The 16,260-nt window shown below is 37.8% G+C and overlaps 1 protein-coding gene across 6 annotated transcripts in view; it reads left to right on the forward strand.

Annotated features, from left to right (window-relative positions):
• Window positions 1-16,260, forward strand: part of CSRNP3 (cysteine and serine rich nuclear protein 3) — a 219,710-nt gene that overhangs the window by 172,804 nt on the left and 30,646 nt on the right. For all 6 annotated transcript variants that reach the window (XM_047445908.1, XM_024453155.2, NM_001172173.2 and 3 more), the window contains one exon: window positions 15,260-15,519. In XM_047445908.1, coding sequence (XP_047301864.1) covers window positions 15,260-15,519 — 260 coding nt within the window. The remainder of the gene's footprint in view (window positions 1-15,259; window positions 15,520-16,260) is intronic.

The raw sequence follows: 16,260 nt of genomic DNA on the forward strand, positions 1-16,260 counted from the left end.
ATAAGAGTAGACGTGGCATTGATAAAATTTCTGGGAAATCTAAAAATGATTATGCATATTCTTTTTTTTTTTTTTTTGAGATTTAGTTTTGCTCTTTGTTGCCCAGGCTGGAGTGCAATGGTGTGATCTCAGCTCACTGCGACCTCCGCCTCCCAGGTTCAAGAGATTCTCCTGCCTGAGACTCCCAAGTAGCTGGGATTACAGGCATGCGCCACCATGCCCGGCTAATTTTGTATTTTTAGTAGAGATGGGGTTTTGCCATGCTGGCCAGGCTGGTCTTGAACTCCTGACCTCAGGTGATCTGTCCATCTCAGCCTCCCAAAGTGCTGGGATTATAGACGTGAGCCACCACGCCCAGCTTGCATATTCTTTATGACTTTATTTTTCAAATTTGCTCTGTGCTGTATTCTGTCATTTAGAAACTCCGATAAAGATTGTTGGAGCTACATGCAGGAAAAAGAGAAGGGAGAAAGAGAGAAAGAAAGAGAGATAGAGAGAAGATTATAGAGTGATTCTATTCTTCCATGGGTATTTTAGAGGATTCTTTAATAACATAAAACTGCTAGATGATGCACTATGAGCTAAATTACAAAATTTTAACCTATAAACCCCACTCATTCATTTAACACATGTGTATTGAATATCTACTGTATCCCAGATGCTTGGAATCTATGAATGAAAAAATAAACCAAAACGCTGTTGGAAAACATTCCTCCATGTGTCTTATACTCTTCTACATCTTTCTGAGGATAAAAAGAATGTACTGCCCTGACCTGTCCTTACTTGGACCATTTCTCAATGTTGTGTTTGTAGCAAGCAAGCTTGAGGGATGAGAAAAAGTCTTCCTCTGGGACAAAGAACAGTCTTGCTTACTGCTTGCTAAAAACCAGTAGGTTACCAAGCTTACTGAGCCTTTGGTGCAGTACAAACCCACTATGTGCATAGCATCTGTTTGGCCCCTCCACATTGCCCCTGTAGAATTTGGGGATCAAGGAGTACCAACAGAAACATGATGCTCTTGCTGCTTCCTGTGCTGTGAATAATAAGGTTCTTTGTTTTTGACCCCGGAGTCTCATGTCTTTTGCCACCATCTGTGAACATTAATAGGATAACTTTGAATCAGTCCCAGACATGCCAAAACCCTGCCCTCATTCAACTTATATTCTAGACCATAATGTTTCAGTTCTATCATGATTTCATATTTTTATAAAATTTAAAATCGTCTTTGCTTATTTCTGCTCCTTCTCTCACGATCCATCAACTAGGCCTTCTACGTATGTCTCATCACCATTACCCCTACAACATTGAATTATCTATCTTAGAACACATGCCTGTATATTATAAAATTTCACAGGAAATTAATAAATCTTAAGCAATATGATTTTTTTATAGGAAAGTCACTCCTCTAAGGCACAGATGACAATTTAAGTACTAAGAGGCAGAATCATTTTGTAAAACCATCACTAATTGACTGCTAACGGCAGGAAATTCAGTCATGTGTTTTTGCTAGAGGTCAGTACCAATTAGTGATACATTATCAGCAGGATTTCTCTTTCAAAATCATTTATAATATTCAGGTAACTCTTCCCCCACCAGCTACTTGCTTTTTAGAGATGAGTTTACAAACTCATTATAGTTGGATTGTTTAGAGATTATGGAGCCAGGGTTAGTTTGTCATGTTAGGTCTTCTGATATGTAAAATATAGCATATTTCAAATGGTTTCTAATGCAAAAGTTATGTGTACCCTCAAGCCATGAAAGTCATGTATCCTTGCTTCAATACATAATTTTTTCTTTGAAAAATACCCCAGGAAAACAGGTAAAGTGACTAGAAATTATTGAAGAAGAAAGACATGTTGAGCATGAGGCTTCAGGGGAGAACTGTTGAATGTCATCTTATCATTCAGAATTAAAGAAAATATATTTAGGAAATATAAATGCTTATGTATTTAGCCCATTGTTTAATTATTCATTCATTCAGTTTAAACCAACATATATAAGTGAGTTTTAGTGCCCAGCAGTGTGCTGTACCCTGAGGGTTCCATAGTAAGATATAGTCCTTGCAACCCAAGGCCTGAGTAGAGGAGAGAGACACACACACGCTCACATTTTTATTATCAGTATCGAAGCAAGCATGCTTTGGAAATGTGTAGAAAGAACAGTTACTTCATCCTAGGGACTCTGTGGAAGGCTTCCTGGTGGTGACATTTGAGCTGAGTCTCAATTTTATTTTTCTGGTAGATATTGAGTGATAATTCTATGCCAGACATTGTGCTCAAGTAATTCTTCTATCCATAGTTTTGAAAATGATTAGATATTGACTTAGTCCATTTTGGCTGCTGTAACAAAATACCATAAACTGGGTAACTTATAAACAGCAGAAATTTATTTCTCATAGTTCTAGAAGCTGGGAAGTCCAAGTTCAAGGGCACCAGTAGATCTGGTGTCTGGTAAGGGTCCACTTCTCATAGATGGCACCTCCTTGCTGTGTCCTCATATGGTTGAAGGGGTCATGGTCTCTCTGGGGTCTCTTTATAAAAAGGGCACTAAGGCCAGGCACAGTGGCTCATACTTGTAATTACAGCACTTTAAGAGGCCCAGGCAGGTGGATCACTTGAGAGCAGAAGTTCAAGAACAGCCTGGTCAACATGGTGAAACCCCGTCAATACTAAAAATATAAGAATGAGCTGGGTGTGGTGGCATGCACCTGTAATCCCAGCTTCTTGGAAGGCTGAGGCATGAGAATTGCTTGAACCTGGTAAGTGGAGGCTGCAGTGAGCTGAGATCATGCCACTGCACTCCAGCCTGGGCGACAGAGTGAGACTCTGGTCTCAAAAAAATAAAAATAAATAAATAAATAAAAAGGGCACTAATCTCATTCATGAGAGTGCCACCCCCAAAACCTAACAACCTCCCAAATGCTCCACTATCTGATACCATCACCTTGGGGGTTAGAATTTCAACATATAAATTTTGGAAGAACACAAACATTCAGACCATAGCAGAAATTGAGAAGATTAAGAAAATTTGAAGTGCAAGCCCAATTTTAAAATGTGATCTATCTATAGAAAAATCACAGTTATAGTAAAATTTTCCCTTTGTTTTTGATATTTGCAACCCTCCCAAATCACTCACTGACAGCCAGCAAACAGAGGGTACACAAATAAACCCAACTGTCCCTCTCTTAGCTGCCCTTATGACCTCTGCTTTAATTCCAATTCTGCAGCCCTGTATCTCCATTTTATTTGTTTATTTATTTTTGAGACAGGGTTTTACTCCTTTCACCTAGGCTGGAGTGCAATGGCAAGATCTCTGCTCACTGCAACCTCTGCCTCCCAGGCTCAAGTGATTTTTCTGCCTCAGCCTTGTAGGTTTTTTTTGTTTTGTTTTGTTTTGTGTTTTTTTTGTTTTGTTTTGTTTTTTTGGAGAGACAGGGTTTCACCATATTCCCCAGGCTAGTCTCGAACTCCTGAACTCAAGTGATCCACCTGCATTGGCCTCCCAAAGTGCTGGGATAACAGGCATGAGCGATTGCACCCAGCCTGGATCTTTATTTTAAATGTAGAATTTCAGACATATGGATCCAGTAAAACAGCATAAATTAAATTCCTCCTTTGTTTTTTAATGACTTAGATTTTTATTCAGGATAAGTATAGTAAAGGCTTTTTTAGATTTAATGGCATTTCTGTTTTTTTAAGCATGCATCAAGATTTCATCCTTCCCAGCAAAGTTAAAAGTTCAAGTATGTGGTTTTGGGCCCAGTCTTGCTCTCCAGAATAATTTCTAAGAGATTTTAGAATTTTTTTGTTGCTCTTGTTGCTGTTGAGGATTTGTTTTGTTTTGTTTCTTTGTTGTTGTTTTTAAGTGATGTTCTGACCTGGATTATCATGATATATTAGGCTTGACAGGGTTGAATTGTTGGACCAGATGAAATACTGCTTGGGAAGTCACTGAGCAGGTGGAAAATGCTGTTTAATCCTTGTAACAGGAGAGGCTCATGGTGGTATTGAGAAAATGTAAAACGCAGCAAAACAGGTTAGTAGAGCTGAAGAATAGCAAATGTTTCCTTCTGTCATTGTGTCAGAATGCCTCATGCGGCTTTATTTTGCACTGAGATATTCCATGTCCCCAAAATATTTCTCCGATGGTGGTAATGAATTGCATTGCCCTCTTGGTTGCAACAGCGCGGGTATTCTGCTGAGGAGCCATATGGTTCCCATTTATTTTAATGTGTCTTTGACATCAGGAGAATTGCTGAGACAGCAGAGGGAAGTGCTTACACCTTGGACTGCAGCCAGAACTGTGATTATTTATGTTTAGTAACAACTACCTTTTTTTCCCAATAAAAAAAGATATAATATGAAGATGTTATTCATATTGAGATTTTAATAACACTAGAGTATAGGTTTATATATTTTGGAAATAACTGTTACTTTAGTGGCAGTGAAATTTGTTTCTTAAGCATGAAGTTTTAGTGTTTAATTGCACATATGAGAGATTAAGGAAACAAGCTGGGAAGTAGGTGGTACTTGTTTTCTCCCTGATAATAAAGGAACACACTTTTTATTTGGTTTAACGGCATCACCGAGATAGTACTCGGCATATGTAATGCTTTCCATCTGTGGTTCATAAGGATTTTTACAAATGTAATTATTTCTTATAATATTCCTGTGAGGTAGATAAACATAATTCTGAAAATATTAATGGAGGAACTAAGAAATGCAGATGCTCATTAATATAACTTGTATAATGGATTTTAGCAAGTATTAAAATTCAGACTTTAAATCGATTACATTATTTGACAACTTATTATTTTGCAGACATTGGGATAGGAAAATATTTTCTCTAATTCATTAGCAATATGACATGCTTACAATAAAAAAAACCAGCCTTTAAAAATGAAAAGGCAGATACCTCAATAATGTATGTTCCATATGTAAATGTTAATATTGGCTGTGTGGAAATCTTTAAAATTCCCTGGAAAATATTAATGTTATCTAAAATATATAGATAGTGTGGAGAGAGAAAGGAGCTGATAACATTGATCAAAATTCTTTAAAATGGTTCTCAACAGTAATGACGTCAGGTGATAGCTGAGTACAGATAGTCCCTGACTCCTTAATGCTGGTTGGACTTACATTTTTTGATTTTACAATGGTGAGAGAGCAGTAGGCATTCAGTAGAAACCGTACTTTGAGTACCCATACAACCATTCTGTTTTTCACTTTCAGTACAGTATTCAGTAAATTACATAAGATATTCAATGCTTTGTTATAAATAGGCTTTTCATTAGATGATTTGGGCCCCTGTAGGCTGATGTAAGGTATTCTGAGCATATGTAAGCTAGGCTAGGCTGTTACGATGTTCTGTAGGTTAGGTGTATTAAATGTATTTTGACTTAACAATATTTTCAACTTACAATGGGTTTCTTGGAAAGTAACCCCATTGAAAGTTAAAACGGAGCTTCTGTGTATTATATAGAACGGGGGGAAAATTCCTAATTTTTGGTCTGCTTTGGTTAGAGCTGAGCAAAATTCAGTGCCTATATTTAGCAAAACATTAATATTGCATTGTGTTTCCAATATTTTGCTCAAGGATTTTAATATATAATTTTTTTAAGTGATTTGTCGTGTAAGAACAAAATTGAAGCAAAAGGAAGACTGATTGTGAAATGTAGAACTGGAACACCAAAATTCATGATGCCTAGTTCTATAAATTTGATTGATTTATTGATGCAAAAGGAAAATCATATATCTAAATTAGAACAAAAATTAGTAGATCACTCAGTGGTACAATTTTACATATAATTTAATCTAAACTTTTAGTTTAACAATTCACCATCCCCAATATTAATTGCATTTTATGTTGATGGCTAGGGCATTCTGCAGTTACATTATATTTTCAGTGGGTTGTTAGTTCTACATAAGCAGGAGGATCAGTGCTAAGTCAATTAGATATAAAAATTATTTATAAAAGATAAAATAATTTTTTAAAAAGATTTTTTTGCTTTCTTGATCTGCAGTCCAATGCTCTACCTTTGAGCTGTACCCCCTCTTAAATTTTTGCTTTTTTAATTTCAAGTTTATAACTTTAAAATATGGTATGTCTTGCTTTTGTCCTAGCAAACAAAGTGCCGTTTTTTGTTGTTGTTTTTTGTAGATTACTCACAAGAATTAGTGGGGAAGAGGAGGGGGCGTCCTTAAAAAATAAAATGTGTGGATGAACAATTGCTAGTTTTGCAAAGTGATCATCTTTTGTGAGTTAATCATATTAATTATTTATGACATGAAGGCTGGAAGGTCAAAGTGTGTGTTAAATTTTCACATGCAGCTTTCAGAATTTACATCAAAATCTTGGGCAATAAACCTTACTTTTTTCCAACCTGAGAATTTTCAGTAGATGAGTATTCGATCAAACCAAACCAATGAAGTCAAATTCAGCTTACAGAGAGCTGAACAGCCTGGGCTGTGCCTGTCAAGAGAGACTGGGAGGAGAGCTGGTTCCCTTCATGCATATCTCTTGCTTGCTTGTGTGGACGTAACTGACAGACTGAATGGATGACGACGTGACATGCATGTTCATGATCCAAAACAAAGCTTTAGTCAATCAGCTTCAAGGGTCATCTTTTTATATTACTTCTGTTCTTGCTATTTTGTTCTTGTTGTTTAAATGCATACACAGTATTTGCACATATCTTGATAGAATACTTATTATGTCACTTAGTCTTATATGAGAGGGTTTTTTTCTTTGTAAACTAGCAATTTAAACAAAAGAGTCTTGTCTTGAATTATTTCACTCAGAAGCTGCAATGTGCAAAAGACATTATTAGTCTTGAGGGTAATCCATTGTGAATATTTTCAATTTCATATAGGAATGGGAAATATTTACAGCTAAATGGATATGCTACCTAATCCTATGTATGAATTATAAACCTAGTTCTCCTCTACCAAAGGAATGATATCAGAATGACAACTGGTTCTTATATGTGTCTATCATATTTTATATGGTCTAGTCTACTTGCTGCTTTACTAATACATAAGTTGGTTGGTTGGTTAGAAATAGAGAAGAGTGGTATTTAAGGACTGAGGAGAGACATGCACTACAATTTTAATAGCACTTAGAGCTATTAGTCGTAATACAGGGAACCGAATATATCAGCAAGAAATAGACTTGGACTAAAAATGATGAGCATCACCTAAGTGGAGGCTACTTTTTCTTGATTTTTATTTTTGAATGCTACTTTCATAGTAATAAGCAATAGTAAAAAAGGAAAAAAATAAGACCCCTGACTTGTTGTCCTTTAGGTACATTAAGATACTTTTTTACATTTACTGCCTGTGTTTCAGTTCTGATTATTCTTTTGGGAAGAAAAATAACTTAATTCCAAAACATTGGGTAATTAAAAATATTCCCCTACATCATGCCCATTGTTTAAGGTGGGTTTTTTTTCTTTTGTTTGTGATTGTTAGTATGTGTTTTAAACTCTTTATAACTGAATGTAAAATAACAGATCAGCTTATATTACATACTTAAGGTAATTTGGATTTTGTTCATGGTAAGAAAGAAAATAGTCCCAATTAGTCTTTATTTTCATTTTGCTTCTCATTCACCCACGATACTTCTTTAGTATAAGTCTTTTGGAGTTTTTTCCACTTAAACAATGTATTACTAAATACCTTATTTGAGCAAATTAAATTTAAAAAGACGACTGGGGCAAGTATATTCAGGAAACGAGAATGTGCCTGGAATAAAAAAGGACAATTAGAACAAGGAAAGATTGCTTTTAATACCAAACTAGACTTCATTTTCCAAGGAATTACTCCTATAGTTCTTAGTTGCTAGACCCATTTTTACTTGGTTAAGATGAGATCAGGTAGGTGACACAGTTATCAAGAGAAGCCAACCTTGGCTATCATGTCAAGTTGGAGAAGCTTTGAGCATATGATCACAGGAAATTTACAGAAGTCATTTGTAAATGTTAAGTTAATCTTAATAACTTCAATCATTGGAAATTGATTTACTATTCAATCTGTTATGCTAATTTCTATACAAAATAATTTCTGGTGAAACTGGATCTTCTGTTTTTAAGCTAAGCTTCCTGGTTTGATAACAGATTTAGTCTTGATTTGTTCTTCAAAAGGTAAGAAGCAACACACACAACTTCAGAGCCCCTGATCAATTTGGTCTGTATGATTTAAAAACACAAATTTTCATTGCCCAGGGCTTACCAAGAAAAACAAGTTGATTTCAGCAATCTCATTTCACTTCTACTAAGTTTCATCTAAATAAATAAATTCAAAACCATAGACTTGCAAATTATCTGGCATTTTCCTTTTGATCAGCTTAAGAGAGATAAGTTTATTATTGACTTTAGACCCAAATGGTAGAATTAATATCTTCCACAATTCTTCTCTCATTTAACATGAAACTAGACCATAAACTTTCAACCTCCATGTGCCAAAATACATAACTCTGTTTACTGCTTTCTGCCTTTCTAGCAGGACTTTGCTGATAGGTGTTGACATAAAAAACAACAAGTGTACTTAAAGAGGATGACCAGCTCATTGCTCAAGCATTCGCTCCAGAGTTGTTGCCCTGTGGTGGAATTGGTAGTCCAGAACCTGGTCTTCAATTTTACAGGCCCAGATATATGATTATCTGTGTGCATGCAGAGATGGCCAAACTCAAGTGGAATGATACACTAATAATGTTTACAAATGGCTAAAGCACAAATCAGAAAGCAAATTTGATTATTTTCAATAAGAAATAAAATTGACAAGTCAGGCAGATAATCTGGTAAACTTGAAGATTTATTCCATACTATATAAACAGATTGATTTGTGAGTGTGGAAAGAGAAAAATCAGTTGAATTTTCCTAGAGCCTAGTGTGAATCAGCTGTGATACTTGATATACTCATCCCCTGTAGGGATCAGAATATTCAGAATATTTATTTCACCAGAGTACTTGCTTCCCTGGATGATACTGCAAACATGCTGAATAATTCTTAGTTTTTGGTTTCCATTTTTAATCTGTTCTTTTCACGAGTTCGTTCTTTATATAATTTATAGTACAGATTATTTTATGTGCCTATATTCTTACCCTGGCATTGTGGATTAGTCAGTTTTCCAATTCTTTTCTCCATTCATTTTGAAAGCTTTTTTTTTTTTTTTTGAGACAGAGTTTTGCTCTGTCGCCCAGGCTGGAGGGCAAAGGCGTGATCTCAGCTCACTGCAACCTCTGCCTCCCGGGTTCAAGCGATTCTCCTGCCTCAGCCTCCCGAGTAGCTGGGATTACAGGCACCTACCACCAAGCCCGGCTAATTTTTGTATTTTTAGTAGAGACAGGATTTCACCATGCTGGCCAGGCTGGTGTTGAACTCCCAACCTCAGGTGATCCGCCTGCCTCGGCCTCTCAAAGTGCTGGGATTACAGGCGTGAGCCACTGCACCCGGCCTGAAAGCATTCTTTTAAGGATAGGTAGCTTCTGGAGATAGTGAATATCAGTAACTGTGTGTTTATTCATTTAATTTATAAAGATCAGTATTATCTCTACTATATGTGAACATTTTACAGTAACACCAATATGGCCAGATATGCTGAACATAATGGTGTTCCCAAGACCTGGGCAGTGTATATAGTAGTGTTGTATATAGACACTTTTGCTTCAGGCTGGTATTATGTTGGGATAAAAGAAAAGGAGCTGAAAGACACTTAAAAAATAGTGTCAAGGCTGGGCACGGTGGCTCACGCCTGTAATCCCAGCATTTTGGGAGGCTGAGGCAGGCGGATCATGCGGTCAGGAGATTGAGATCATCCTGGCCAACAAGGTGAAACCCCCTCTCTACTAAAATACAAAGTGTGGTGGTGTGCACCTGTAGTCCCAGCTACTCGGGAGGCTGAGGCAGGGGAATTGCTTGGACCCAGGAGGCGGAGGTTGCAGTGAGTTGAGATCGCACCACTGCACTCTAGCCTGGTAACAGAGCAAGACTCAATCTTAAAAAAAAAAAAATGGTATCAAGTATGAAAACAGACTAATTATTTTTATTCATTTGTTTATTTAAACTGGAGTCTCACTCTGTCACCCAGACTGGAGCGCAGTAGTGTAATCTCAGCTCCCCACAACCTCTGCCTCCTGGGCTCAAGTGATGATTGTGCCTCAGCCTCCCAACTAGCTGGGGCTACAGGCACACACCACCACACCTGGCTAAGTTTTTGTATTTTTGGCAGAGATGGGGTTTCGCCACGTTGCTCAGGCTGGTCTCGAACTCCTGAGCTCAAGGGATCCACCTGCCTCAGCCTCCCAAAATGCTGAGATTACAGGCGTGAGCCACCGCGCTGGCCAAAAACAGACTAATTAATTTTCAGAGCTCTCACGAAAGGCACATTCTCCTCCCTCCTTTTCTTGCTCTTGACCTTGCTATAGTAAAGCCAATACTGAACTCTGTAGAGACACAAAGTAGAGCTTAATCTTCTTGGAAAGGGCACAAATTACTAGGTAGGTATATCAGGGAGGTTTCAGATTCCCTACGGCAGATGTGCTGAGTGAATTTAGTCTGCTTCTCCCAGGCTCAAAGGGCAGAGACTCTTTTTTATGACTTCATTTTGTGATGTTAGTCAAATTAAGGCCTGGAGTCAGGAGATAGCCCATAAAGGCTCATGTTAGTCCTCTGATTGAATCATCAGAAGAGAGACTTGGGTGGCTCTTAACTTCAGGAAAGCCACACTTATAATATCCCCTGTAAGGCTGATCTTGTAGTATTTTGAAGACTTCCTTTTAAATAGATTCCATAGGCTTTTGAATCATTGTTCTCACAATGTTATGTATAATATGCAAATGCTAAAGTAAACACAAACACATGTTTGAATTATGAACCCTAATAGATAGGAGGAAGCACTATTCCTAATTCCTTTTGACAGTGTCAGCTCTGCCAGGGGCCCAGCTGAAGGCCTTCTGCTCCCTGACACTATTGTCGTCTTCAAGGCCTTAGAAAATCACTTCCAAACTCTAGCTTTTAGGGAAAAGGTAATTTGGCTTTTCTGGGAAAGCATGATGCAATAGATTCATCCAGAAGGGTGAAGAATTCTTATAATCTCAAACTGCAGGTGGAGATCTAAATACATTTAGAAAGGAAATTTGTTGAGAGTGCCACCAATTGTCTAAAAAGTAAGTACTAAAATTACCAGAGGTGGCTGGGCACAGTGGCTCACACCTATAATCCCAGAACTTTGGGAGGCCGAGGTGGGTGGATCACCTGAGGTCAGGAGTTCGAGAACAGCCTGGCCAACATGATGAAACCCTGTCTTTACTAAAAATACAAAAATTAGCTGGGCGTGGTGGCAGATACCTGTAATCCCAGCTACTCAGGAGGCTGAGGAAGGAGAATCATTTGAACCCAGGAGGCAGAGGTTGCAGTGAACCGAGATCATGCCACTGCACTCCAGTCTGGGCAACAAGAGCGAAGCTCTATCACAAAAAAAAAAAAAAAAAAAAAAAAAAAAAAAAAAAATTACCAGAGGTGTGTATAATAATGATTTTAAATGAGTACATTCAAACCTTTTTCCTTGTCTATAAATTTATGGCCTTGAATAATAATGCCTTTAGGGCATCATTTTTATGATATCAAGAGCAAAAAAGATAGAAAGTTATCATCACAAAACCAGAAGCTCTAGCCTGCTGTAAGGGGTAATGTATGAGATTGTTGGATTTGATAGCAGATTACTGGGCAGATTGTTAAATTTGCCTTCTCTGGTGATCTTTTACATTTCGACAAATTCTTCCTTGTTTTGAGATGATTTAAACATATGGTTATGAAATGGATCAGAACTTTTAAGTCAAAATTGAAAGTTTTCTTTACTGCCTGGAGTACAGGTGTGTTACAATGAATATATACATAAATAAATGGAAGATTATGCACAAGTTGGAAAGCATTCACTTTCTGGCAATATCTTCTGGAGAAGCAAAACAATGGAGAAGAGGAAAGTTGAGAAAGCCGAATTGCTGTGCTAAGGTCATAATTCTCTTACTCTCTAATCTTCTGAGTCTCTTCATTGTGTCAGAGTTTCTCATCACTGGAATGGAAGCTCCACACAGGCAGGGATCATCATCTGTGTATTTATTTTTTATTTATTTATTCTTTTTATTTTTTGAGATGCAGTGTCTCTCTGTTGCCCAGGCTGGAGTGCAGTGGTGTGATTTCGGCTCACTGCAACCTCCACCTCTCAGGTTCCAGCAATTCTCCTGCCTCAGCCTCCTGAGTAGCTGGGATTGCAGGCGTGAGCCACCCTGCCTGGTTACTTTTTGTATTTTTAGTAGAGACAGGATTTCACCATGTTAGCCAGGATGGTCTCGAATTTCTGACCTCAGGTGATCCGCCTGTCTTGGCCTCCCAAAGTGTTGGGATTACAGGCGTCAGCCTCACCCGGAATCATCTGTGTTTTTAACTGATGTATCCCAATCATCTAGAAAGTGGCTAGCACATAGTAGGCTCTCAATTTGTACTTACTGATTAAACAAATCCATAACATGATATTAATCATAGCAGCCTCTATATATTTGGCTTGAATGTTTCATGGGGGAAAAATGAGACAAAGGAGCTTGAACCTCCTTGGAAGAAGATTCTTACCTAAATCCAATTAGAGTCAATTTTTTTCATTGCTTACACAGCCTTCCAAATCAAAATCGTCTTGAAACCAGCAGCAGTTGACATCTTCCAGAGGTAGTATGATGCCAAATCTCAGCCTTGCTCACCTCCCTTAGTGTGGCCTCAGCTGCATGCTGAAATATGGTAGCGAAAAGACTGTGCTCTGAATAACAGATCCCAGTTTTTTCATTAGTTATAGGACCTTGGCCATGTTTTTTAACCGTTGATAATTTGGTTTCCTAACAATTGGGACATGAGTAATATCAACCAGGGAGTTCTAAGGATAAAATGAGATAATTCATGTAAAGTTCCCCGCATAGTACAGCACATGGGAAACACTCCATAAATGTTGAATTATAGCATTTTGCCATCAGAGGATTTCTTCTCAGTTCATTTTCTTCTGTTCATTTTTCTGCTTGAGCACTTGTATCAGTTTCCTTGGGCTCCCGTAAAAATGACGACAAACAAGATGACTTACTACAGCAGAAACTGCTCACTGTTCGGGAGGCTAGATGACCAAGGTGTTGGCAGGGCCCGGCTCCCTCTGAAACCTTTGGGAAAGGATCTTTCCTTGCACATTTCAGTTTCTGGTAGCCCCCGACATTCTTGGCTTGTGGTGGAGAATCTCCATCTCCATGTCAGTCTTCACACGGTGTTCTTTCTGTGTCTCTTCACATCATCTTCCCTCTACGCATGTCTGTGTCCAAATTTTAACTTTTATAAACACACCAGTCATCTTGGATAAGGGCCCACCCTAGTGACCTCATTTTAATTTGTTTACTTCTGTAAAGTCCCTATTTCCAAAAGAGACTACATTCCGAGGTACTCGGGATTAGGACTTTAGCATATTTGGTGGAGAGGGACAAAATTCAACCCCTAATAGAAAAGCAGATAGGAAAAAAATAATGAACTGAGAAGAAATCCTCAGCTAGCAAAATAATAGCATGATTCTTTCTTCTCAACTAAGTGTGTCCTTCCTTCCCCAGTGGGGGTGGATCGTATAATTTGGCAGCGAATTAGGAGCTTTTAGGTTTAGGCTTACCTGTCTCACTAACAGTCTACATCAAAAAAAGTCACTCAAATTCTACAGACCTGGGTTACTTCAATGTAAAATGAAGGGGCTGAACCAGATGATTCTACCATGGCTTCTAATTTCAAGAGGCCATGTTTACAAAGTGTGGCCCTCTTCTTCTCAACTACAGTCAGTGTCTACATCTCCTGGATTCTCCGTGCATCTTGATGTTCCTGTAACTAATAATAAAGGCTCCCATCATTACCACAAAAAAATCAATATGTGAGATAATTGATATGTTAATTAGTTTGATTGAGCATTTTCACAGCACATACATATATCAAAGCATCACACTGGGCATCATAAATATATATAATTTTTATTTGTCAATTAAAAAAATAAGAAGAAGAAAAAGTAGTTCTGATATATCTCAGGCAATTTCATTTGTCCCAATGTATACTTGCATTAGAATCCCATTGTTCATAATGCTATTTAATGAGAACACTGGTCTTTTCAAGTGAAAGTTTTATTAGATTTAGATTGATAAAATATCTAAATAGTGCCAGTGAGCCTTTTTGTGTGTGTTTTTATTGCTTTTTGAAATTTTCTAAAATTTGTTGACATTTGTTTTAATGTCAAACACCCTCCACATAGAAATAAGATCCGAGGTATGAGGGTTTGTACTATGTGTCTTTTTTGATTATAGTATAATACAACTCCTGTGAAAGTCATAAAACCAAAGTTCAAAGGATTAGAGGAAATGAGAAATTATAGTTGTCCCTGGTTATCTGCAGTTTTGATTTCCCCAGTTTCAGTTATCTGTGGTCAAGCACAATCCAAAAATATTAAATGAAAATATCCTGAAATAAACCATTTTTAGTTTTAAATTGCAGGCTGTTGGGAGTAGTGTGATGAAATCTCACACTGTCCCATTCCCATTCCCCAAGGATTTGAATCTTCTCTTTGTCCAGCACATCAGTGCTGTCTATGCTACTGGCCCATTAGTTACATAGTAGCCATCTCGGTTATCAGATCAACTGCCATGGGTATCCCAGTGCTTATGTTCAAGGAATCCTTATTTTACCTAATAATGGCCCCAAAGCACAAGACTAGTGATGTTCATATATTATTATAATTGCTTTATTTTACTGTTAGCTGTTGTAATTAATTTCTTACTGTGCCTTATCTTAGGTAGGTATGTATAGGAAAAAACATAGTATATACAGGGCTCAATACTGTCCGTGATTTCAGGCATCCACAGGAAGTCTGAGAACATATCCTCTAAAGATAAGGGGGGACTACTATAAATACTGCCACAGATTCACAGACTATTGACAACTTTACTGAAAGTTTGCTTAGATTATCATTATACTTAAAAGCACAGTCTACCATTATACTTAAAAGAAGTCTACTCTGCTGCAGCTAGAAGAAAATTTAAGAAAGAAAATTAGAACTCTATGCCAACTCTGGGATATAACAGTTTTAGAGTGCCCTAGCCAACAAGGGTTGGCCACAGATAGATTCAAGATCACCAAATGGCATTTTCTTGGCCTTGTCTGAAAACTGCTGCCCCAAGTGTTCACAGGATTGTTTCTTTCTCTTTCAGCTTCCTCCATTCTCAAAAGGGAGAAACGACTGAGGACAAAGAATGTACATTTTAGTTGTGTCACCGTGTACTACTTCACCAGGAGGCAAGGCTTCACAAGTGTGCCCAGTCAAGGGGGAAGCACCCTGGGGATGTCCAGCCGCCATAACAGCGTGCGCCAGTACACTCTTGGCGAGTTTGCAAGGGAGCAGGAGAGGCTCCACCGGGAGATGTTGAGAGAACACCTTAGGGAGGAAAAGCTGAACTCCTTAAAACTAAAGGTAAAAAACAAACTCATTTTCTGCAAAGTCTCATATCCTTACAGCAATTTGATTGAGTTAACCATTTTCATATTTATAATCACGAAACAAACTGGGCACTTTACATAACAGACTGCTTGCTGACATTTTTTTAAAGCAAAACGATATAGTCTGTTTGCTAAAAGCAATGTGGGAAACTTACCTGACATCATTTATTCATTCATTCCACCAATATTTACTATTGAATATTGTGAGATCATATGCCCTGTGCTTGGGCTAGGGCTAGTAGGAGACCAAAAATAGATGTGGTCCTCTCTCTATAGGAACTTATAGAATAGTAGAAAAGAAAAATATTAATAAAAGTGCTAAACAAAATAAAAGCACAACTTCATTGAGTGCAATGTAGAAGAGTTGCAAGGTATTATGAAAGTTTATAATAGGGAATTGATGTGGTCAAGGAGGTCAAGGAAAGCTTTCTCAAGGAAGTGAAATGAAAATCTGAAGAGGTGACTAGGCAAAGAGGATTGGCAAGAGCATTTCAGATATCAAGAAAAGCCAGAGCTACTGTATTAGTCTGTTTTCATGCTGCTGATAAAGACACACCCGGGACTAGGTAATTTATAAAGAAAAGGAGGTTTAATGAACTCAGTTCCATATGGCTGGAGAGGCCTCACAATCATGGCGGAGGGCAAAAGGCACTTATTACATGGCGGCAGCAAGAGGGAAAGTGAGAGCCAAGTGAAAAAGGAAACTCCTTATAAA

Source organism: Homo sapiens, chromosome 2 (assembly GCF_000001405.40).
Source record: "Homo sapiens chromosome 2, GRCh38.p14 Primary Assembly".
NCBI lineage: Eukaryota > Metazoa > Chordata > Mammalia > Primates > Hominidae > Homo > Homo sapiens.